General features: G+C 37.9%; 8 annotated features.

The window, feature by feature from the left end:
* Window positions 2,658–2,858: a silencer, noted in NCBI's record as "peak5649 fragment used in MPRA reporter construct". NCBI's record gives its function as "represses an SCP1 promoter by STARR-seq MPRAs in K562 erythroleukemia cells {active_cell/tissue: K562}" and the evidence as "EXISTENCE:reporter gene assay evidence [ECO:0000049][PMID:32103011]".
* Window positions 4,504–4,673: an enhancer, noted in NCBI's record as "experimental_96052 CRE fragment used in MPRA reporter constructs". NCBI's record gives its function as "activates a minimal promoter by MPRAs in K562 erythroleukemia cells, with activity observed for the non-introgressed 6:8394827 or rs1763097 variant allele {active_cell/tissue: K562}" and the evidence as "EXISTENCE:reporter gene assay evidence [ECO:0000049][PMID:34662402]".
* Window position 4,589: a transcriptional cis regulatory region, noted in NCBI's record as "Neanderthal adaptively introgressed variant 6:8394827 (GRCh37/hg19 assembly coordinates) or rs1763097 in the experimental_96052 CRE". NCBI's record gives its function as "modulates activity of the experimental_96052 enhancer by MPRAs in K562 erythroleukemia cells {active_cell/tissue: K562}" and the evidence as "EXISTENCE:reporter gene assay evidence [ECO:0000049][PMID:34662402]".
* Window positions 7,461–7,630: an enhancer, noted in NCBI's record as "experimental_96058 CRE fragment used in MPRA reporter constructs". NCBI's record gives its function as "activates a minimal promoter by MPRAs in K562 erythroleukemia cells, with activity observed for the introgressed 6:8397784 variant allele {active_cell/tissue: K562}" and the evidence as "EXISTENCE:reporter gene assay evidence [ECO:0000049][PMID:34662402]".
* Window positions 14,434–14,603: an enhancer, noted in NCBI's record as "experimental_96067 CRE fragment used in MPRA reporter constructs". NCBI's record gives its function as "activates a minimal promoter by MPRAs in K562 erythroleukemia cells, with activity observed for both the introgressed and non-introgressed 6:8404757 or rs4959486 variant alleles {active_cell/tissue: K562}" and the evidence as "EXISTENCE:reporter gene assay evidence [ECO:0000049][PMID:34662402]".
* Window position 14,519: a transcriptional cis regulatory region, noted in NCBI's record as "Neanderthal adaptively introgressed variant 6:8404757 (GRCh37/hg19 assembly coordinates) or rs4959486 in the experimental_96067 CRE". NCBI's record gives its function as "modulates activity of the experimental_96067 enhancer by MPRAs in K562 erythroleukemia cells {active_cell/tissue: K562}" and the evidence as "EXISTENCE:reporter gene assay evidence [ECO:0000049][PMID:34662402]".
* Window positions 15,124–15,293: an enhancer, noted in NCBI's record as "experimental_96069 CRE fragment used in MPRA reporter constructs". NCBI's record gives its function as "activates a minimal promoter by MPRAs in K562 erythroleukemia cells, with activity observed for both the introgressed and non-introgressed 6:8405447 variant alleles {active_cell/tissue: K562}" and the evidence as "EXISTENCE:reporter gene assay evidence [ECO:0000049][PMID:34662402]".
* Window positions 16,390–16,559: an enhancer, noted in NCBI's record as "experimental_96073 CRE fragment used in MPRA reporter constructs". NCBI's record gives its function as "activates a minimal promoter by MPRAs in K562 erythroleukemia cells, with activity observed for both the introgressed and non-introgressed 6:8406713 variant alleles {active_cell/tissue: K562}" and the evidence as "EXISTENCE:reporter gene assay evidence [ECO:0000049][PMID:34662402]".

Genomic DNA, 16,947 nt, shown 5'->3' on the forward strand with positions numbered 1-16,947 from the left:
ACACCCATACCTCCACTAAGAGAACCGGGTATTCCTTTCCTGCTGTGTAGGTGTTTTCATCCCTTTCTTTTTAATAAAATAATTAAGGAGTTTTTATTAGTATAGTTAAAGATTTACCGAAAAATTGAGTACAATTCCATATATGCATCCCATTCCCACCACATATATTGTTTCTCTATTATTAACATCTTTCACTAGTGTGGTACATTTGTTACAACTAATGTACCAATATCAATATATTATTAACTATAGTCCATAGTTCACTTTCAGGTTCACTCTTAGTTGTACTTCTATAGGTTTTGACACATGTATAACATCATGTATCTGCTAGTGTAGTATCACACAGAATAGTCTCACCTGTGCTTTGCCTATCCATCCTCCCCTTCCCTTTCCCACCCCACCCAGCCTGTGCCCACCCTCATCTTTTTACTATCTGTATAGTTTTTATTTTTTATTTTTGGAGACAGAGTCTCACTCTGTTACCCAGGCTGGAGTGCAGTGGCACAATCTCAGCCCACTGCAACCTCTGCCTCCTGGGTTCAAGCAGTCCTCCTGCCTCAGCCTCCCAAATAGCTGGGATTACAGGTGTGCACCACCATGCCCAGGTAATTTTTTTTTTTTTTTTGACTTTTAGTGGAGATGGGGTTTCGCCATGTTGGCCAGACTGGACTCGAACTCCTGACCTCAAGTGATCTGACCACCTCAGCCTCCCAAAGTGCCGGGATTATATAGTTTTTCTACACAGACAGTCTGTATAATTTTTCAACACAGGCAGTAATCATTGTATTTTGAGCCAAAGTTTCCATCACCTTTTTAGGCAGACTTCTTTCTATTTGTTTTAAAATGAAGAAAGAATGTCTTCATGAAACATGAGTTATTCTGCATAGTCAAAAGTGTTCACAGATTGAATTTTTAAAGTTGGTAATGCTTTTCTGTTTTTTTTCAAGATCCAGTTTGCATTTTCTACTCCCATTAACCTACAGTGAATACATCATTGGTCAACCAAAGTTACAGGATGAAGAAAGACTCTTGGGAAACACATGTGGGTCCAAACTTAGACTCAGAAATGCCCATGAGGGAAATTGATTTCTCTTGTCCATTACCAAATTGCTACTGTTGACATCAGAGTAAGAAGTTATCATTTTCCTACATATGAGAAGATAAAATAATCTGATACACAATGTAGGCAATTGAAATGGTCAGCATGATGATCTTTTCTATTTTGCCATCAGAAAAAAACCCAGTGGTTTAAATTGCAGACCCCAGCATGGCTTTTTCAGATGGATAACAACTCATTTCTAGAGGCTTTTCCCATTTAAATTTGATAGTACTGACACCAAAGAATGGGGGGCATGCTTATCGTTACTTATTTTGGACTAAACAATCACAATACCCACTTAACAAAGCTGCTAAAAGCTTGGCGCATGATTGTGGGTGTTACCTGTGCCCCAACTCACAGGCAAGAAGCAGTGGCACATTATAATCATTCGACAGGAAAGAATTTCAAGGAGACATAGAAAAATTGAAAGTCCACATGGGATATAATCAAAGTTAAAAGAGAATTTCCTTTTCAACAAATGAAAGCAAGATATTTAGGTCAAACCTCACGTTGACAGGAAACAGAAAGGGCCACTGCCCATGTTAGAAGCAGACTGGACTGCACGACCCAAAGGAGTCCCTGTGGTCAGGTTAATGGCTTCACAAAAAGTATTACTTTTAGAGTACTTTATGGTTTTCTAAGTGCCTTTCTTCATATCTATCTTGATACAAATTGTCCTTATCAGATGTTATTAATATAGCAGTGTTTTAATATGCTGAAATTCTGCTACAGAGAGCAACAGATTAGAGTGCAACAGGTTAGAAATGATCCTGTAGTGAAAATATAATGGTTTTCCTCTTCATCTTTGCTTTAGTGAAATGCTTGAAGGCCTACTCTCTCTCTGAGCTGAAAGTATGATTTGTTATTCCAAAACTATTTTAGTCTCAGCAGAGATGGAGTTTGCACATGCATTTTTGATAACTAAGGCTGACTCCCATTAGGGTGGAAAATAAAGCCTATAATTCATAATAAGAGATTGCTGCCTTTGAAATCACTTCCTACCATAATACTGGCCACTTCATTACAGTGGTAATTAGAAAGAAAAAAACCAGAAGTGGCCATTTGAAGGGGAAATTAGTGCTTAATTTCCAAGACTGTTTTATTTTAATGGATGCAACTCTGGCAAGATTTTATACTTCAATTGCAAACCCAAGAATGATAAGGCTGGTGTTTCAGATCTGTCTTCTAAATGGAAAACACTTCATGCAGCATGTGATGAAAGAGCATCTAATGACTGAATATATCCCTTAAAGTCAGATATACTGTCTTTAAAGGAGGGTTTAAAAAATAAGTATGTATGTGAAGGTGGGCATGTGTGGGTGTAAGTTACATCCATTTAATCAGCTGCTACTGTCATTAACCAAGTACACAACTTGAGCGTGTTAAAATTACTCCAATTAAAAGAAAGTGCTGTTAAAAGAAAATCTCATATTTTATTAAAAATGTCTGATGCGGCCCAAAAGGAAGGAATGGATCTTTTCCTGGAAGAGGAAAACAAGATTTAAGACAAAGAAATACGCATAGGTTGATCTAAGAGTCTCCATTTTTAGAGAGCTGCTGAGGTCTTCTAAAGAATGTTTCTTTTCTTCCCCCAGCCCACTTCCTCTTTTAGAAGACTCTTTTATTGTGGAATGTAATACAGAAAACTCCACCCATTCAAAACACACAGTTCAGTTATATTTCTCAAAGGGCACACCAGTGTAAACATGACACAGGCCAATAAAACATTGCCCCACCACACAAGCCTCCTCAGGCCAGCCCTCTCCAGCCCTAATCTCTCCTTTCTCCCAAAATACAATTGTCTTTTACGTTATCACTTCTTTGCTTTTCTTGATAATTTTACCATCAAAACATGGATCCCTAACCATTGTAGTTTTGCTTTGCCTTTGTTTTTTTTTGTAACTTTACGTAAACAGAATCATATAGTTTATACTCTTTTGTATTTATGCTTTTTCATGTGACATTATGTATGTCAAATTATTGTTGCCATGAGTAGTGGTAAGTCTTTCCTATTCACTCAATTATATGTGTATAGCACAATTTTTTTTAACCCATTGGACTGTAGGTGACTACTGTATTTGGGTGACTCAGTTTCTGCTTTTCTGAATGATGCTGCTATGAATATTTTTGTATGTGTCTTTTGATATACACATGCCTACATTTCTGTTGTATGTGCTTGTGAGTGGAATTTCTGCATCACTGGATGTACATTCAAATTTTTCAGATAATGTTGAATAGTTTTCTGAACTGGTTATAGCAATTTGCACTTCTAATAGCATATGAGAATTGTCAATATTTAGCCTTTGTGGTAAGATTGTAGTAGATTTTTACTTGGGGTTATCACTGAAGCATAATGAGTCTTTTCAAATGTTTATGGTTATTTGGCTATCCTCTTTTGTAAAAGGATTCAAGTCATTTCCCAACTTTTGTATTATGCTGTCCTTATTGATTTGTAGAGGCTCTTTATGTATTCTAGATACAAGTTCATTTTGATGACATGTATGGGAAATTTCTTCTCCTACTTGTGGCTTGCTTTTTTACTTTCTTAATGGTGTCTTTTGATGAATATGATTTTTAAATTTTTAAACATTTTATTTTGAATTAATTTTAGATTTACAGAAGAGTAGAAAAGAGTACAGAGAGCTCCAATATATCCTCCATCCAGCTTCCTCTAATGTTAACCCCTTCCATAACCATTTATCAAACATAACTAACACTTATCAAACTCAGATATTAATATAGGTACGACACTGTTACATAAACAATACAATTTATTCAGATTATACCGGTTTTCCGCTGTTATCCTTTTTCTGTTCCAGGATCCAATCCCGAATACCATGCTGCGTTCAGCGCTCAGTCTCCTTAGTCTCCCTCAATCTGTGGCAATTGTCTCAGTTCCTATTTTTCCTGACTTTAACACTTTAATAGTACTGGTCAGGTATTTTGAGAATAAACCTCAGTTTGGACTTCTCCAATGTTTTCTCATGATTAGATGAATTCACTAATTTTAATGTAATATAGTTTGTCAATCTTCTCCTTTATATTAATGCTTTTTGTCTCCTTTCAAAATAACTTCCCCTCCCCACAGAGCCTGTTTTACCTTTCATATCTTGTGAAAGCCACTGTTTGACCTTTCATATGTAGTTTATAAGTTTAGGCCAAGTTCCATAGTTTCCATATCTAACCCATCAAACATCAATTATTGAAAAAAAAAGTTTCCCTGCTTATCTGTAGTCCCATCTTTGAGGCAAATCAAATGTCCCTGTGTGTGTGGATTTGTTTCTGAGCTCTTAATGTTGTTCCAACAGTCTATTTGTCTCTTCTTGTGCCATAGTGCACTGCACTAATTACTGGAGCCAATAACAAGTCTTGATATATGGTGGTACCTATTTTGTTTAAGAGATCATTGGCCATTTCAGCACTTCTCATTTCTTTATAAATTCTGGAATCAGCTTATTTTCTCATATACACATACGTACACAGGCATGCTGGACTTGAACTGAATCCATAAATCATTTGGGAATGACAATTTACTATATTGCAACTGCCAGTAGATGAACATGAATATACCTTCATTTATGTAGGGATTCTATAATTTTGCTCAATAACTTATAGTTTACTGGCAGAGATTGTGCACATCTTATATTTATTTCAAAGAATTTCATGATATTTAATACTACTTTGAATAGAATCACTTTTTTCTTTTTTTTTTGAGACAGAGTCTCGCTCTGTCACTCAGGCTGGAGTGCAATGGTGCAACGTTGGCTCACGGCAACCTCTGCCTCCCGGGTTCAAAGCATTCTCCTGCCTCAACCTCCTGAGTAGCTGGGACTACAGGCGCCCGCCATCATGCCCGGCTAATTTTTGTATTTTTAGTAGAGACAGGGTTTCACCATGTTGCCTGGGCTGGTCTCGAACTCCTGACCTCAGGTGATCCACCTGCCTCGGCCTCCCAAAGTGCTGGGATTATAGGCATGAGCCACTGCATCCAGCCTAGAATCACTTTTAATATTCAATTTTTCTAGTTGTTTGCTGCTATATAAAGAAATACAATTCTTGCATATTGATCTTATATTGAGAGACTCTGCTAAATCCTCTTTTTAATTTTAATAGTGTATTTGTAGATTGCTTTAGATTTTGTGTGTACATAATTGTGTCATTTGTGAATATACTTTTTTTTCCTTGCAGTTGTTTTTTCTTCCTTGTTTTTTGGCTTTTTCTGTACAGGCTAGGACCTCCAGTACAATGTTGAATAAATGTACTAGTAACAGGAATACACACTTATTTCTGAAATCAAACCAAATACTTTCTATAACTTATCATTAAATATCATGCTTACAGTAGGTTTTTTTGTAGGTACTTACATATATGGAACTATTCAAATTTTGTGTTTTCCTATGTCAGTTTTGGTAGACTGTATTTTTGTAGAAATTAGTTGTTCTTATCTAAATTTTCAAATTTATTGGCATAAAATGCTTTAAGATATTCTTTTCTTCTTCCTAAATGTTCATAGAACATGCAGTAATATCCTTTTTTCATTTCAGGTATACTACACATTTTTATCTTCTTAATTTCATGATCAGACAACCCAGAAGTTTATTAATTTTAATTCTTAAAAAAAAAATCAACTTTTCTTTTTTTTTTTTTTTTTTGTTTGAGACAGAGTCTCGTTCTATCACCCAGGCTGGAGTGCAGTGGCACAATCACAGCTTATTTTAGTCTTGATCTCCTGGGCTCAAATGATGCTCCTGCCTCAGCATTCCATGGAGCTGGGACTACAGGCATACACCATTGTGCCCTGCTGATTTAAAAAAAAAAATTCTTATTTTTTCTAGACATGGGGTCTCATTATGCTGCCCAGGCTGGTCTCAAACTCCTGGTCTCAAGCAATCCTCCCACCTTGGCCTCTCAAAAGTATGAGGTCACAGGGGTGAGCCACTGGGCCTGGCCTTAATTTTTTTAATTGTATATTTTTATTTACTATTTAATTTCTGCTCTTATTACATACTTCTTTCTGCTTTCTTTGGGCTTCATTTGCTGAATATTTTCCTCACTTCTTAAAATAGATGCTTAAAACATAATAAATGTTTATAAAAAATAGGCTGTTCTTTTATGTGCATTTTTTGTTTGATCTTCAAAATCACCTTGTAAAGGTGTGCTAATTCCATTTTTCTGGATGAAGAAAATGAGAAGGTAACTAATTTGCTCCAGGTTAATTATGAAGCTGGAATTCAAATTAGGGCTGTTTGTACAGAAAGTCTATATTCTTTTTAAATATCTTGAATTCACATATGATTAGTATAAAATACATTTTTATCTTTTTCAAAAATTCTATTTTGTAATTAAAGAAAAAATTAGAATATGGTAAATATTTGTTTGCATTATAAAGAATCTAGGGTCAGTAAAGAAATCTAATTGTTATAAATCCATCTTTATGCTGATCATGTTTAAAAATTTTTTCATGTATCTCAAAAACGGCACTGACAACTTCCTCCCTTTTGACCTGTTTCTCCTTCTTTTGGCTCCTTGAGATCACGCTTTTCTCCTTCTCTGACTTCTCATTTTCAGCCCCTGTGCAGGTCCCTCTTGCTCTGTTCACCACTAAACATCAGTGTTCCTCAGGCTTTGTAAACACTCTCTTCACTTAAAAAAACAACATTGACAATCTTACTCATGCTCATTATTTTAACTCCCGAATCCAGATTCCCAGGCCTCTCAAACTACATATTATCATTGCTTTCTGAAATTGTTCATCTGGAGGTTCCAAAGTAAGACTTTAAACTCAGTCATGTCCAAACTATGCTTCAACTTGCTCTCCCCAACAGCAAATACACTCTTTCTCCTGAATTGTGTATCTCAGCAAGTAACATTCATCCAGTTTTCCAAGTCAGAACTGCAAAAGTCATTCTAAGATGCTTCCTCTCCCTCATCCCCTCCCTATCAATTACCCTCTAGATATCCCTATTATTGGTTCCATCCTCACCAGCTCCAATGCCTGAGTGTGTATTTAGATCCTCACGATGTCTTACCTGGACTTGCTTAAATGCTACCTCTTAGAAAAAGTCTTTCAGAATAGTCCTATTACACTTCATATACATTCACATTATAGAAATTAACGCACCATAACTCTATGCCTGCTTCTCACTAAACTTTGAGATAATTAAGTGAAGGAGTTGTGAGGCAGATATATAATCTATCTCATAAACATAGATATGTATTTACATATCTCTGAAGAGACTTGCAAATTGCTCAATACATATTTGGTCAATGGCTGTCACAGGAAAAAAAATGGAAAGGAAAGCTTATGATTTTCTCAGTGGTTGCTACAATAGTGGATAATTCATACTTTTCAAAATTAAGTGGAGAGGTCAAGTGGGTCCATGGAGTGTTACTATTAACCCTTCTGAAAGAGTTAGTTTAGATGGAACTATTGAGTGGACTTGTGTTCACTCACATAGAAATAGAGCTGGACCCTTTATGATAGTGCTCTGCCATCCAGGAAATGTCTGTTCATAAGGTCATAATAAAGCCTTCTGCTATTATAGCCACATCATTTGAACAGTCTTGTCTATTCATAAGCAAAGTTGTATGCTTAGAAAGGCTTAGGATCATGGAATTTGAATTTTGAATATTATAATTTCAAATTACATATCACTTATTAACAAAACTATCATAAAGAAGAAAACTCAATTCTATCAAGAAGGTATTTTTAATCACCCCATTTTCAGTGTGGTGAGTGAAGCACAGTAAAATCAAGCAATTTATGCTAACTGTTATCATATTACTGACAGTAATTCAGAAGTATTTCTTCCTAATTCTAGAGTCTCCTCTTTCTTATTGTGGTGACATTTCCAGCTAACACAGGAGAGGCACATAAAATCCTTAAGTACAACTTCTGATCTGGCACTTAGATCCCATATTTTAAAAATTTCCAGTGTTAATTATTTTTAATCCCTGCTCCAGCTTTAAGTTTATAGGTGTTCCTCGAATTATGACAGGTTACATCCTTATAAACCCATCATAAGTTGAAAATATCCTAATTTGAAAATGCACTTACTGCAACTGACCTACGGAACATCATAGCTTAGCCCAGCCTGCCATAAACGTGCTTAGATACTTGCATTAGTCTACAGTTGGGCAAAGTCATATAGCACAAAGTCTATTTTATAATAAGGTGTTAAATAGTCAGTGTAATTTATTGAATACTGTACTGAAAGTGAAAATAGAATGGTTGTATGGGTACTCGAAGTGCAGTTTCTACAGAATGTATGTTGCTTTCACACATTCTTGATCATTAAGCCAAGAAATCAAAAGTTGAACCACAGTGAATTGGGGACCATCTGTAGTCCCAACTGGATCTCTTGCTAAGAGAGACAAAATGACCTAGGAGTTCACAGCTAAGCAAGCCAGATTCCCTTTGCTTCTTCTCTGACTTTGACGCCTACACTCTATTTTTTTTCCCCAAGATTAAGCTTCTGTCTTGCCTTGTACTTCCAGTGATGTCCTCTCTGTCTTGACTACATTTGCCTTGGCTGCTTTACAAAGTATCTCACTTTAATTCAACGTAAAATCCTGACTGGTCCTTGGATTCTATCCCTTACTCCCAGTTGCCCCGTTTCAACACCTCTCTTTATGGTTGAGTCCCATTACCTGCTGGTAGATGACTTGAAGTGTCTACCTATATAGGCCATCTCACTCAAGCACAGGTCGATTTGGCTGACTGGGGATGTCAGGCAGGAAATCCCTTCTTCTTTCACCTCTGTGCATTCTCTTAAAGCCTGGTTCAAGATGCTAATCTTCTTAGGTGGGTTAGTAAGTATGACAGCAGGAGTGTCCACAAAAGTCCTTCCTTGGAAAAAGTCTTGCTCCCTTTACATGGTCCTGAGAAGGAAGGCAGTGTCAGGATTTTGAGAGGACACAAACAGCTGGAGAGGATGCCAGTCCTAACCTGGTGCTGTTGTGGCTGGAAAGAGCAGGAGTTGAGGAGTGGTGGGTTATCAGCTAGGCATCAGAGTCAAAGAAACCGATTTAGGTGCATTATGCCATTTACTATGTGTGAACCTTGGGTACATCACTTGTCTTCTTGAGGTCTGTTTCCATGTCTTCAAAATACAAACTACTGCTTCCCTGCCTGTTTCAAATCACTTTGTACAAATGATATGCATTAGACAATAGCAAAATTAGGAAATTTTACAAAGTATACTAATTGGTACCATCTCAAATAATCAAAGCTTTATGGTGAAGTTTTCCTATCACAAACAATTATGCCTATGTATTAAAAACAATCTTACCTAATTAGCCATAATATGAGACATATTTTAGGACTGAATTCTGTTTTATATTTCTGTTAGTCTTCTCCTAGAAGATTTGAAATCTATATTTAAGTTAGTAAAATATTTCAAAATTACATTTAAATTAGTAATTAGATTTGTAATAAAACATTACAAATCTTACTTCCAAAATTTGAATTTTACCAATTAAAACTGGTAAATGAACCAATATTTCTGAAATAGATTGCATCAAGATAGCGGCCAGCAAGTTTTCATTTGTATTAGAAAGGCAAATCTGAGAATCATTAGTAGTATAAATCACTAAGACAAAGAGTTGGGAGAAATTCTCTTTTAATGAGTTTTGGCTCCTGTCAAGATGGTGAGCTAGGATAGGCTGCTGGTTTCTTCCAAAAACAATCCTAGAGGAACTAGGAGATGGGGGAGGGTGGCGTGGTAGGGAGAAAGGATAGGAGAGAGGGTGAGAGACAGTGAGAGAGAGAGAGAGAGAGAGGAAGACAGACATACTGATTCAGACAGACAGATGTGAATTCTAGGAAAAAACAAAACAATACCAAAAGTGAGATGTTCTGGGGAGACTGAGGCTGTTTTAATCTTGGAGTTATAGACTAGAAACACAGAAGGCAGCAAGGTGCAGAAGGCAGTGAGAAGGCTTGGAGAGAAACTGCCAATGGCTATGCTAAAGTGTGTAATTACTGTTAAAAAAAAAAAAGACAACTGAAAAATATCTACCATTGAAAACAGAATGATTAGAAGAGAGTCCAAGAATTTAAAATAACCATGATAAAAAATAACACAATTAGGAACAATACTGGTAGCATAAAGCAAAACCAATAAATCGTTTTAAAAATCCAGGTAGAAATATTAGGTCTGAATACATAAGGGTTGAAATATAAAAAACACGACCATGACAAAGGAGATAAACAGCAGGTTGAACAGATGAACAAATTAGTACACTGAAAGCCCAGACTGAGAAACTCTCTCAGAAGCAGCAAGAAACAGCAGAGATGGAAACCATAAGAGAATAGCTTAGGGATATGTAGATGAAAGTAGAACTGCCAACATGTATAGGAGTCCCAGAGGTGGAGGAGAAAAAATAATCAAACTATTAGATATTCCTAGAAACTGTGTTAACAGATAACCCCTTAGAATTATGAAAAAAAAAATCACTACCCACGCTTCAGTTTTATGAGAATGGCAAACTGCTAAGAAATAACTGAACAAATAAAGTGTATGTTAGTAAGATTAGCTTGCAGAATTTACCAAATAGCTAGGACATTTAAAACAATAAATCTCTTAATTCAGTGTGGGACTATCAGCCTGTGAATCTACACTCTTACTGGTGCCCTAGCCATGGACCTAGTTAGGCCTAATCAATCACCTATGTAAACAGTGCAGCCGCACACCTGGTTCTATGCTTCTCCTGAATCCAGCATAACTCCAGTTGTTTAGAGATGGACATCTCTATGACTCAAACTGGCTATGGATGATTCAAACTAGCTATGGTTCATACACATCTTACAGTAAATTCCCCCAGCCTCACCCTGTTAGATCAAACCTTCTTAAGAGCAGACATTTCAAATGTCTTCTTTGATTTAAAGAAAGGTGGCCAAGCATCCAAACAGTCCTGAGATTTTATGATTCTGTGGTGCTTAACACAGATATTGTAGACCAACATCATCAATTAAAATATAGTTAGAAACTAGAGAAAAAGATGATTACCTGTGTTTATGAAATGTCTCTGGTTTATATACAAAAATTATTCTAAACAATTACAATTGAGGTCTATCTATCATTGAATTTTGGAATGTATGAAAAAAATCAATTCCTAAGTGCCCCAACCAATTCCTAAGTGCTTATACACTGTTGAGTCAGAAATGAAACACAATAAACATTTTAATTGATCTGCTTTTTATTTCTGTCACTGTAACTGGTACTAGGAGAAAAATAATTGGGGAAGAGCCCTATAATGAGATCTAGAATAATCAGACTCCAAAGTCTTATTGCTATTATTTTCTATAGTGAAAAATTATCCACATTTCTTTACTTATCTATTTAAATCTTATCAATTGTGTAAAAACTGATTAAAATGGTCTAATTATGTTTTAGAAATGTGGGGGGTTATCATAGGATTAAGATATTTAATAAAACACATTTTTGTGATTAGACTCAGAAGAATCCCTTAAGTGTTAAGACCTACTTCCCTAAACCCCTGTAATTCACAGTTCATTCTGAAACAGCAGTAAATCATTGATGTGAACATTTTCTTCATAATGTCACTACAAAATAGCATAAAAACTATCTTAACTACATGCCATGAAATTAAAACAACAGACCATGACTGGAAGAGAATTACAGGTTTATCTTACTTTCATGAAGATTTTTAAAAAGGTAACATTTATAGAGAAAGTCATGAATATTAAATCTTTCAAACACCTACAATGATTAAAAAACTCTTTCTGCTTATGCCAGCAACTCTCCAACATAAGATTGCTGTTCAGTTTGCTAGGGCAGGCCACCGAGAATGTGAAGTTTGAAAAGCAAATGGAACAAACTTGGGTGAAAATTATTCTGATAATTTCAGATGTCCTGATATTGAAAACTTCTGAAAGTTTGTATGCTACACCCTAGACACTCCAGGTATGGTCCATGGACCAGCAACATTAGCATCACTTGGAAGTATGTTAGAACAAAATCTCATGCCCCACCCAACCCTATTGAATTCAAATCCTTTGTTTTTTCTTTTTAAAAAACTAGATCCTTAGGTGGTACATGTGCACACTGAGGTTTTAGAAGTACTACCACCATGGCGAAATATTCTGAAAACTTAGGGTTAATGTGATGTGTTTTTATATAACAATCATAGCAAATCTTCCATAGATTGGAAGTTTTTCAAGAGTACGGGTTATAGTTTATTCTTTTTGCATCCTCAGCATCTAGTATAATGCCTGGCTCATATTTGGCCCAGTGAAGATGAATGAATAAATGACATTATAGTAAAAATAGAGCAGTCATATCAGTGAGGCTACATTAGCTGTTTACAAATGTTAAGACAGCTGGTTCAATGGGCAAGTATAGGGACAGTCAATAGGGACAATAAAGCAGAATAAGTGAAAATGTAAAATATTTTTGCTCAAACACATAATACAGAAAACTTATCAAGTGTTTAATCAGGAAGAAAACACACAGCAAAGGTTTTGAGTGTCACAATGTATAACCTGATGATTTGATAACCATGTAATTAGTTTTAGAGTTGGGGCTGGCCATGCTGGAAAGACTAATGATGTGACCGTAGGCTTGGGACTTTGAGCCATGAGGTTTGGGACTTTGAGCCATGAGGTTTGGGACTTTGAGCCATGCAATACCAACCCAACCTCTGGGGAAGGAAGGACAGCTGAAGATAAAGTTCAGTCACATGGCCACTGATTTAATCAATCCTATGGGCTGTATAGTGAAACTCCAATAAAAACCATATACCAAGACTTGGGAGAGCTTCCCTGGCTTGAACACATGGATGTACCAGGAGGGTGATGCATCATAAGGACATGGAAACTAGTGTTTGCAACTATGTATATAAGAGTAAATGTGATTTTGTAATGCATACATATTTGCAGTGTGCTAAGCCACATTACTGGCCCATTACTGGTCAAGTTTTACTAAAATTTTAGGCTTACTGATCAAATAAGAATCTAGAATGTAAAGTGGGTTCAAAATCTAGAATATAAAGTAGGTTTAAGGTAAAAAACACTTGGGAAAACTAAAAGCATTTGATAACAGTTCAGACAATGCTAATAGTTCTTTAATGATAGCTAACAAGCATAATGCCTGCAGTACAATTCTGATCCTAACTACCCAGAGTTAGGTCAAATGTCACATGTATTACTCAGGGCTCTCAGAGGGACAGAACTAATAGGATATATATATATATATATATATATATATATATATATATATATATATATATAAAATATATATGTATATTATATATATGAGTATATTATATATATTTATGTATAATATATATTTATATATTATATATATATGAAAAGGGGAGTTTATTAAGTATTAACTTACATGATCACAAGGTCCCACAAAAGGCTGTCTGCAGGCTGAGGAGCAAAGAGAGACAGTCCAAGTTCCAAAAGTGAAGAACTTGGAGTCTGATGTTCCAGGGCAGGAGAGCATGGGAGAAAGATGTAGGCTGGGAGGCTAGGTCAGTCTCGCGTTTTTCTGGGAGGCTAGGGCAGTCCTGCACATTTTTCTCCCTGTTTTATATTTGCTGGCAGCTGATTAGATGGTACCCACTAGATTGAGGGTGGGTCTTCCTTCCCCAGCCCACTGACTCAAATGTTAATCTCCTTTGGCAGCACCTTCACAGACACACACAGGATCAATACTTTGCATCATTCAATCCAATCAAGTTGACACTCAGTATTAACCATCACAAGTCTACCCCTTGTCAACTTGAACCCATACACATCTCCTGAGATCATACATAATCTTCAAATAAAGACAATAATGTCATAATTATGCCTAACATAATACAACTATCCTTCATACAACTGGAAATGCACCAATCCCCAACCCAAATACTATTGCATAAAGTTAACAATACTTAAATGCTGATATGAAGTCAATAATCTTACATCACATGATAAAGGAAAAGGAAATAAAATGAAGATATTTTCTTAGTACAAGTGTATACATGCATAAACATGTTTTTAACAAAAGGAGGAGGAAATATTCATGACAGTTACAGTCCTCGTTTCTGTAGCTGGTCATGTGGTCGTAGCTGGTATTGGTGACTACCTTCTACTACCCATTCTGTATTCCTTTTGCCTTCAGCAAGCACCTCAGCAGATTGTGGCTTTTCTCCTGGTGAAGTCACCCAAATCTTCATTCCCGAGGGGTCTGGACCATTTGTAGTCCTGCCTGGCTTGGGCTGTTGTAGTTTCCCATTGACTTTAATCACAGGGGATGGTAATACTAAGAGGCACCGATCTCCTGTATTCCATGCATACTCTTCCTTACCTCTCTTATGGAGTAATAGACTGATTTCATCTTGATAGTCCGGGTCAATCACCCCAGCCAACACTGTAAGTCCCTTCTTAGCCTATTGACTTAAAGGTAGAAGGAGCCCAAAGTGTCCAGGTGGCAATCTTAACTTCCAGTTTAATGGATCGTTGTTGTGTCTCCTGGTGGCAGCATTCCTCCCTCTGGTACTAAGAACTTTAGGCCAGCAGAACGTAATGTCGCCGGAACAGGAAGCAAAAATTTTGCTAGTGGATCACTAGGGGTGATGGTGAGTGGTGCCACTTCCACTTCCATCCCTTGATTCCTGGACCCATGAATCCTGGCTATGGGAGAAACAGTACCATATATTGGATACTGATTCAGAGCATACACAGACTTCTGGAGAACTTTGCCCCAGACCTGCAAAGTATTGTCACCTAGTTAGTGTTGTAATTGTGACTTCAAAAGGTCATTCCACCTTCTATCAATCCATCTGCTTCAGGAAGATGGGCAACATGGTAAGACCAGTGAATTCCATGAGCATGAGCCCACTGCCACACTCCTTTAGCTGTAAAGTGAGTGCCTTGGTCAGAGGCAGTGATGGGTGGAATACCATGACAGTGGAAAGGCATTCCATGAGTCCACGGATGGTAGTCTTGGCAGAAGCATTACGTGAAGGATAGGCAAACCCATATCCAGAGTAAATGTCTATTCCAGTGAGGACAAACCTGTGCCCTTTCCATGATGGAAGGGGTCAATATAATCAACCTGCCACCAGGTAGCTGGCTGATCACTCTGAGAAATGGTGTCATATCTAGGGTTCAGTGTTGGTCTCTGCTGCTGGCAAATTTGGGACTCAGCAGTGGCCATAGAAAGGTCAGCCTTGGTGAGTGGAAGTCCATGTTGCTGAGCCCCTGAGTAACCTCCATCCCTGTCACCGTGGCCACTTTGTTCATGATGACAGGGGAGGCTGGGGAAAGAGGCTGAGTGGTGTCCACAGAACGGGTCATCCTATCCACTTGATTATTAAATTCCTCCTCCACTGAGGTCACCTGTTGGTGAGAACTCACATAGGATACAAATATCTTCACAGTTTTTGACCATTCAGAGAAGTCCCTCCACATACTTCTTCCCCAAATTTCTTTGTCACCAATTTTCCAATCATGCTTCTTCCAAGTCCCTGACCATCCAGCCAAACGGTTGGCTACAGCCCATGAATCAGTATATAATCCTACATCTGGCCATTTTTCCTTCCATGCAAAGTGCACAACCAGGTGCATTGCTAGAAGTTCTGCCCACTGGGAAGATTTTTCCTTCACCACTGTCCTTCAGGGACGTCCTAGAAAGGGGCTGTAGTGCTGCCGCTGTTCACTTTTGGGTGGTGCCTGCATATTCTGCAGAACCATCTGTGAACCAGACCCTAGTCTTTTCTTCCTCTGTCAACTGATCATAGGAAACTCCCCATGAGGCCATCGATGCAGGCTGGAGGAGGGAAGGCAGGGTGGCAGGAGTGGAGACCATGGGCATTTGAGCCACTTCCTCGTGCCTTCAGGACCTGCTCAAATCCAATCACATATATACCACTTCAATTTGATGATGGAATACTGCTGTACACGACCTGCTCTATGGCTAGATGGGTCAGAAAGCACCCAGTTCTTGATAGGCAGTTCAGGTCGCATGGTGACTTGATGACTCATAGTCAAACATTCAGTTTCCACCAAAGCCCTGTAACAGGCCAAGAGCTGTCTCTCAAAAGGAGAGTAGTCATCTGCAGAAGATGGCAGGGCCTTGTTCCTAGAGGCCTCTGCTGTGATTCACCCATGGGAGCCTGCCAAAGGCTCCAAACAGCATCCCTGTCTGCCACTGACATCTCAAGCACCATTGGATCTGCTGGGTCATGTGGCCCAAGTGGCACAGTAGCTCGCACAGCAGCTTGGACCTGTTGCAGAGCCTTCTCCTGTTCTAGACCCCACTAAAAACTGGCAGCCTTTTGGGTCACTCGATAAATGGGCCAGACTAACACACCCAAATGAGGAATGTGTTGCCTCCAAAATCCAAATACACCTGCTAGGACCTGTGCCTCTTTCTTGGTTGGGGAGTGTGGGGGGGTGGAAATGCAGCAACTTATCCTTCACCTTAGAAGGAATATCTCCACAGGCCCCACACCACTGGACCCCTAGAAATTTGACTGAAGTAGAAGGTCCCTGAATTTTAGTTGGATTTATTTCACATCCTCTGGCATGCAAATGTTTCATCAATAAGTCCAGTGTGTTTGTTACTTCTTGCTCACTGGATCCAATCAGCATAATGCCATCAATGTAATGGACATGTGTGATATCTTGCGGAAGCAAAAAGCAATCAAGGTCTCTCCAAATAAGATTCTGACACAAAGCCTGAGAATTGATATACCCCGAGGTAGGACAGTAAAGGTATATTGCTGGCCTTGCCAGCTGAAGCAAATTGTTTCTGGTGAGCCTTACGGACAGGAATGGAGAAAAAGGCATTTGCCAAGTCAATGGCTGCATACCAGGTACCAGGAGATGTGTT

The sequence above is a fragment of the Homo sapiens genome, chromosome 6 (assembly GCF_000001405.40).
Source record: "Homo sapiens chromosome 6, GRCh38.p14 Primary Assembly".
In the NCBI taxonomy this organism is placed as follows: Eukaryota; Metazoa; Chordata; class Mammalia; order Primates; family Hominidae; genus Homo; species Homo sapiens.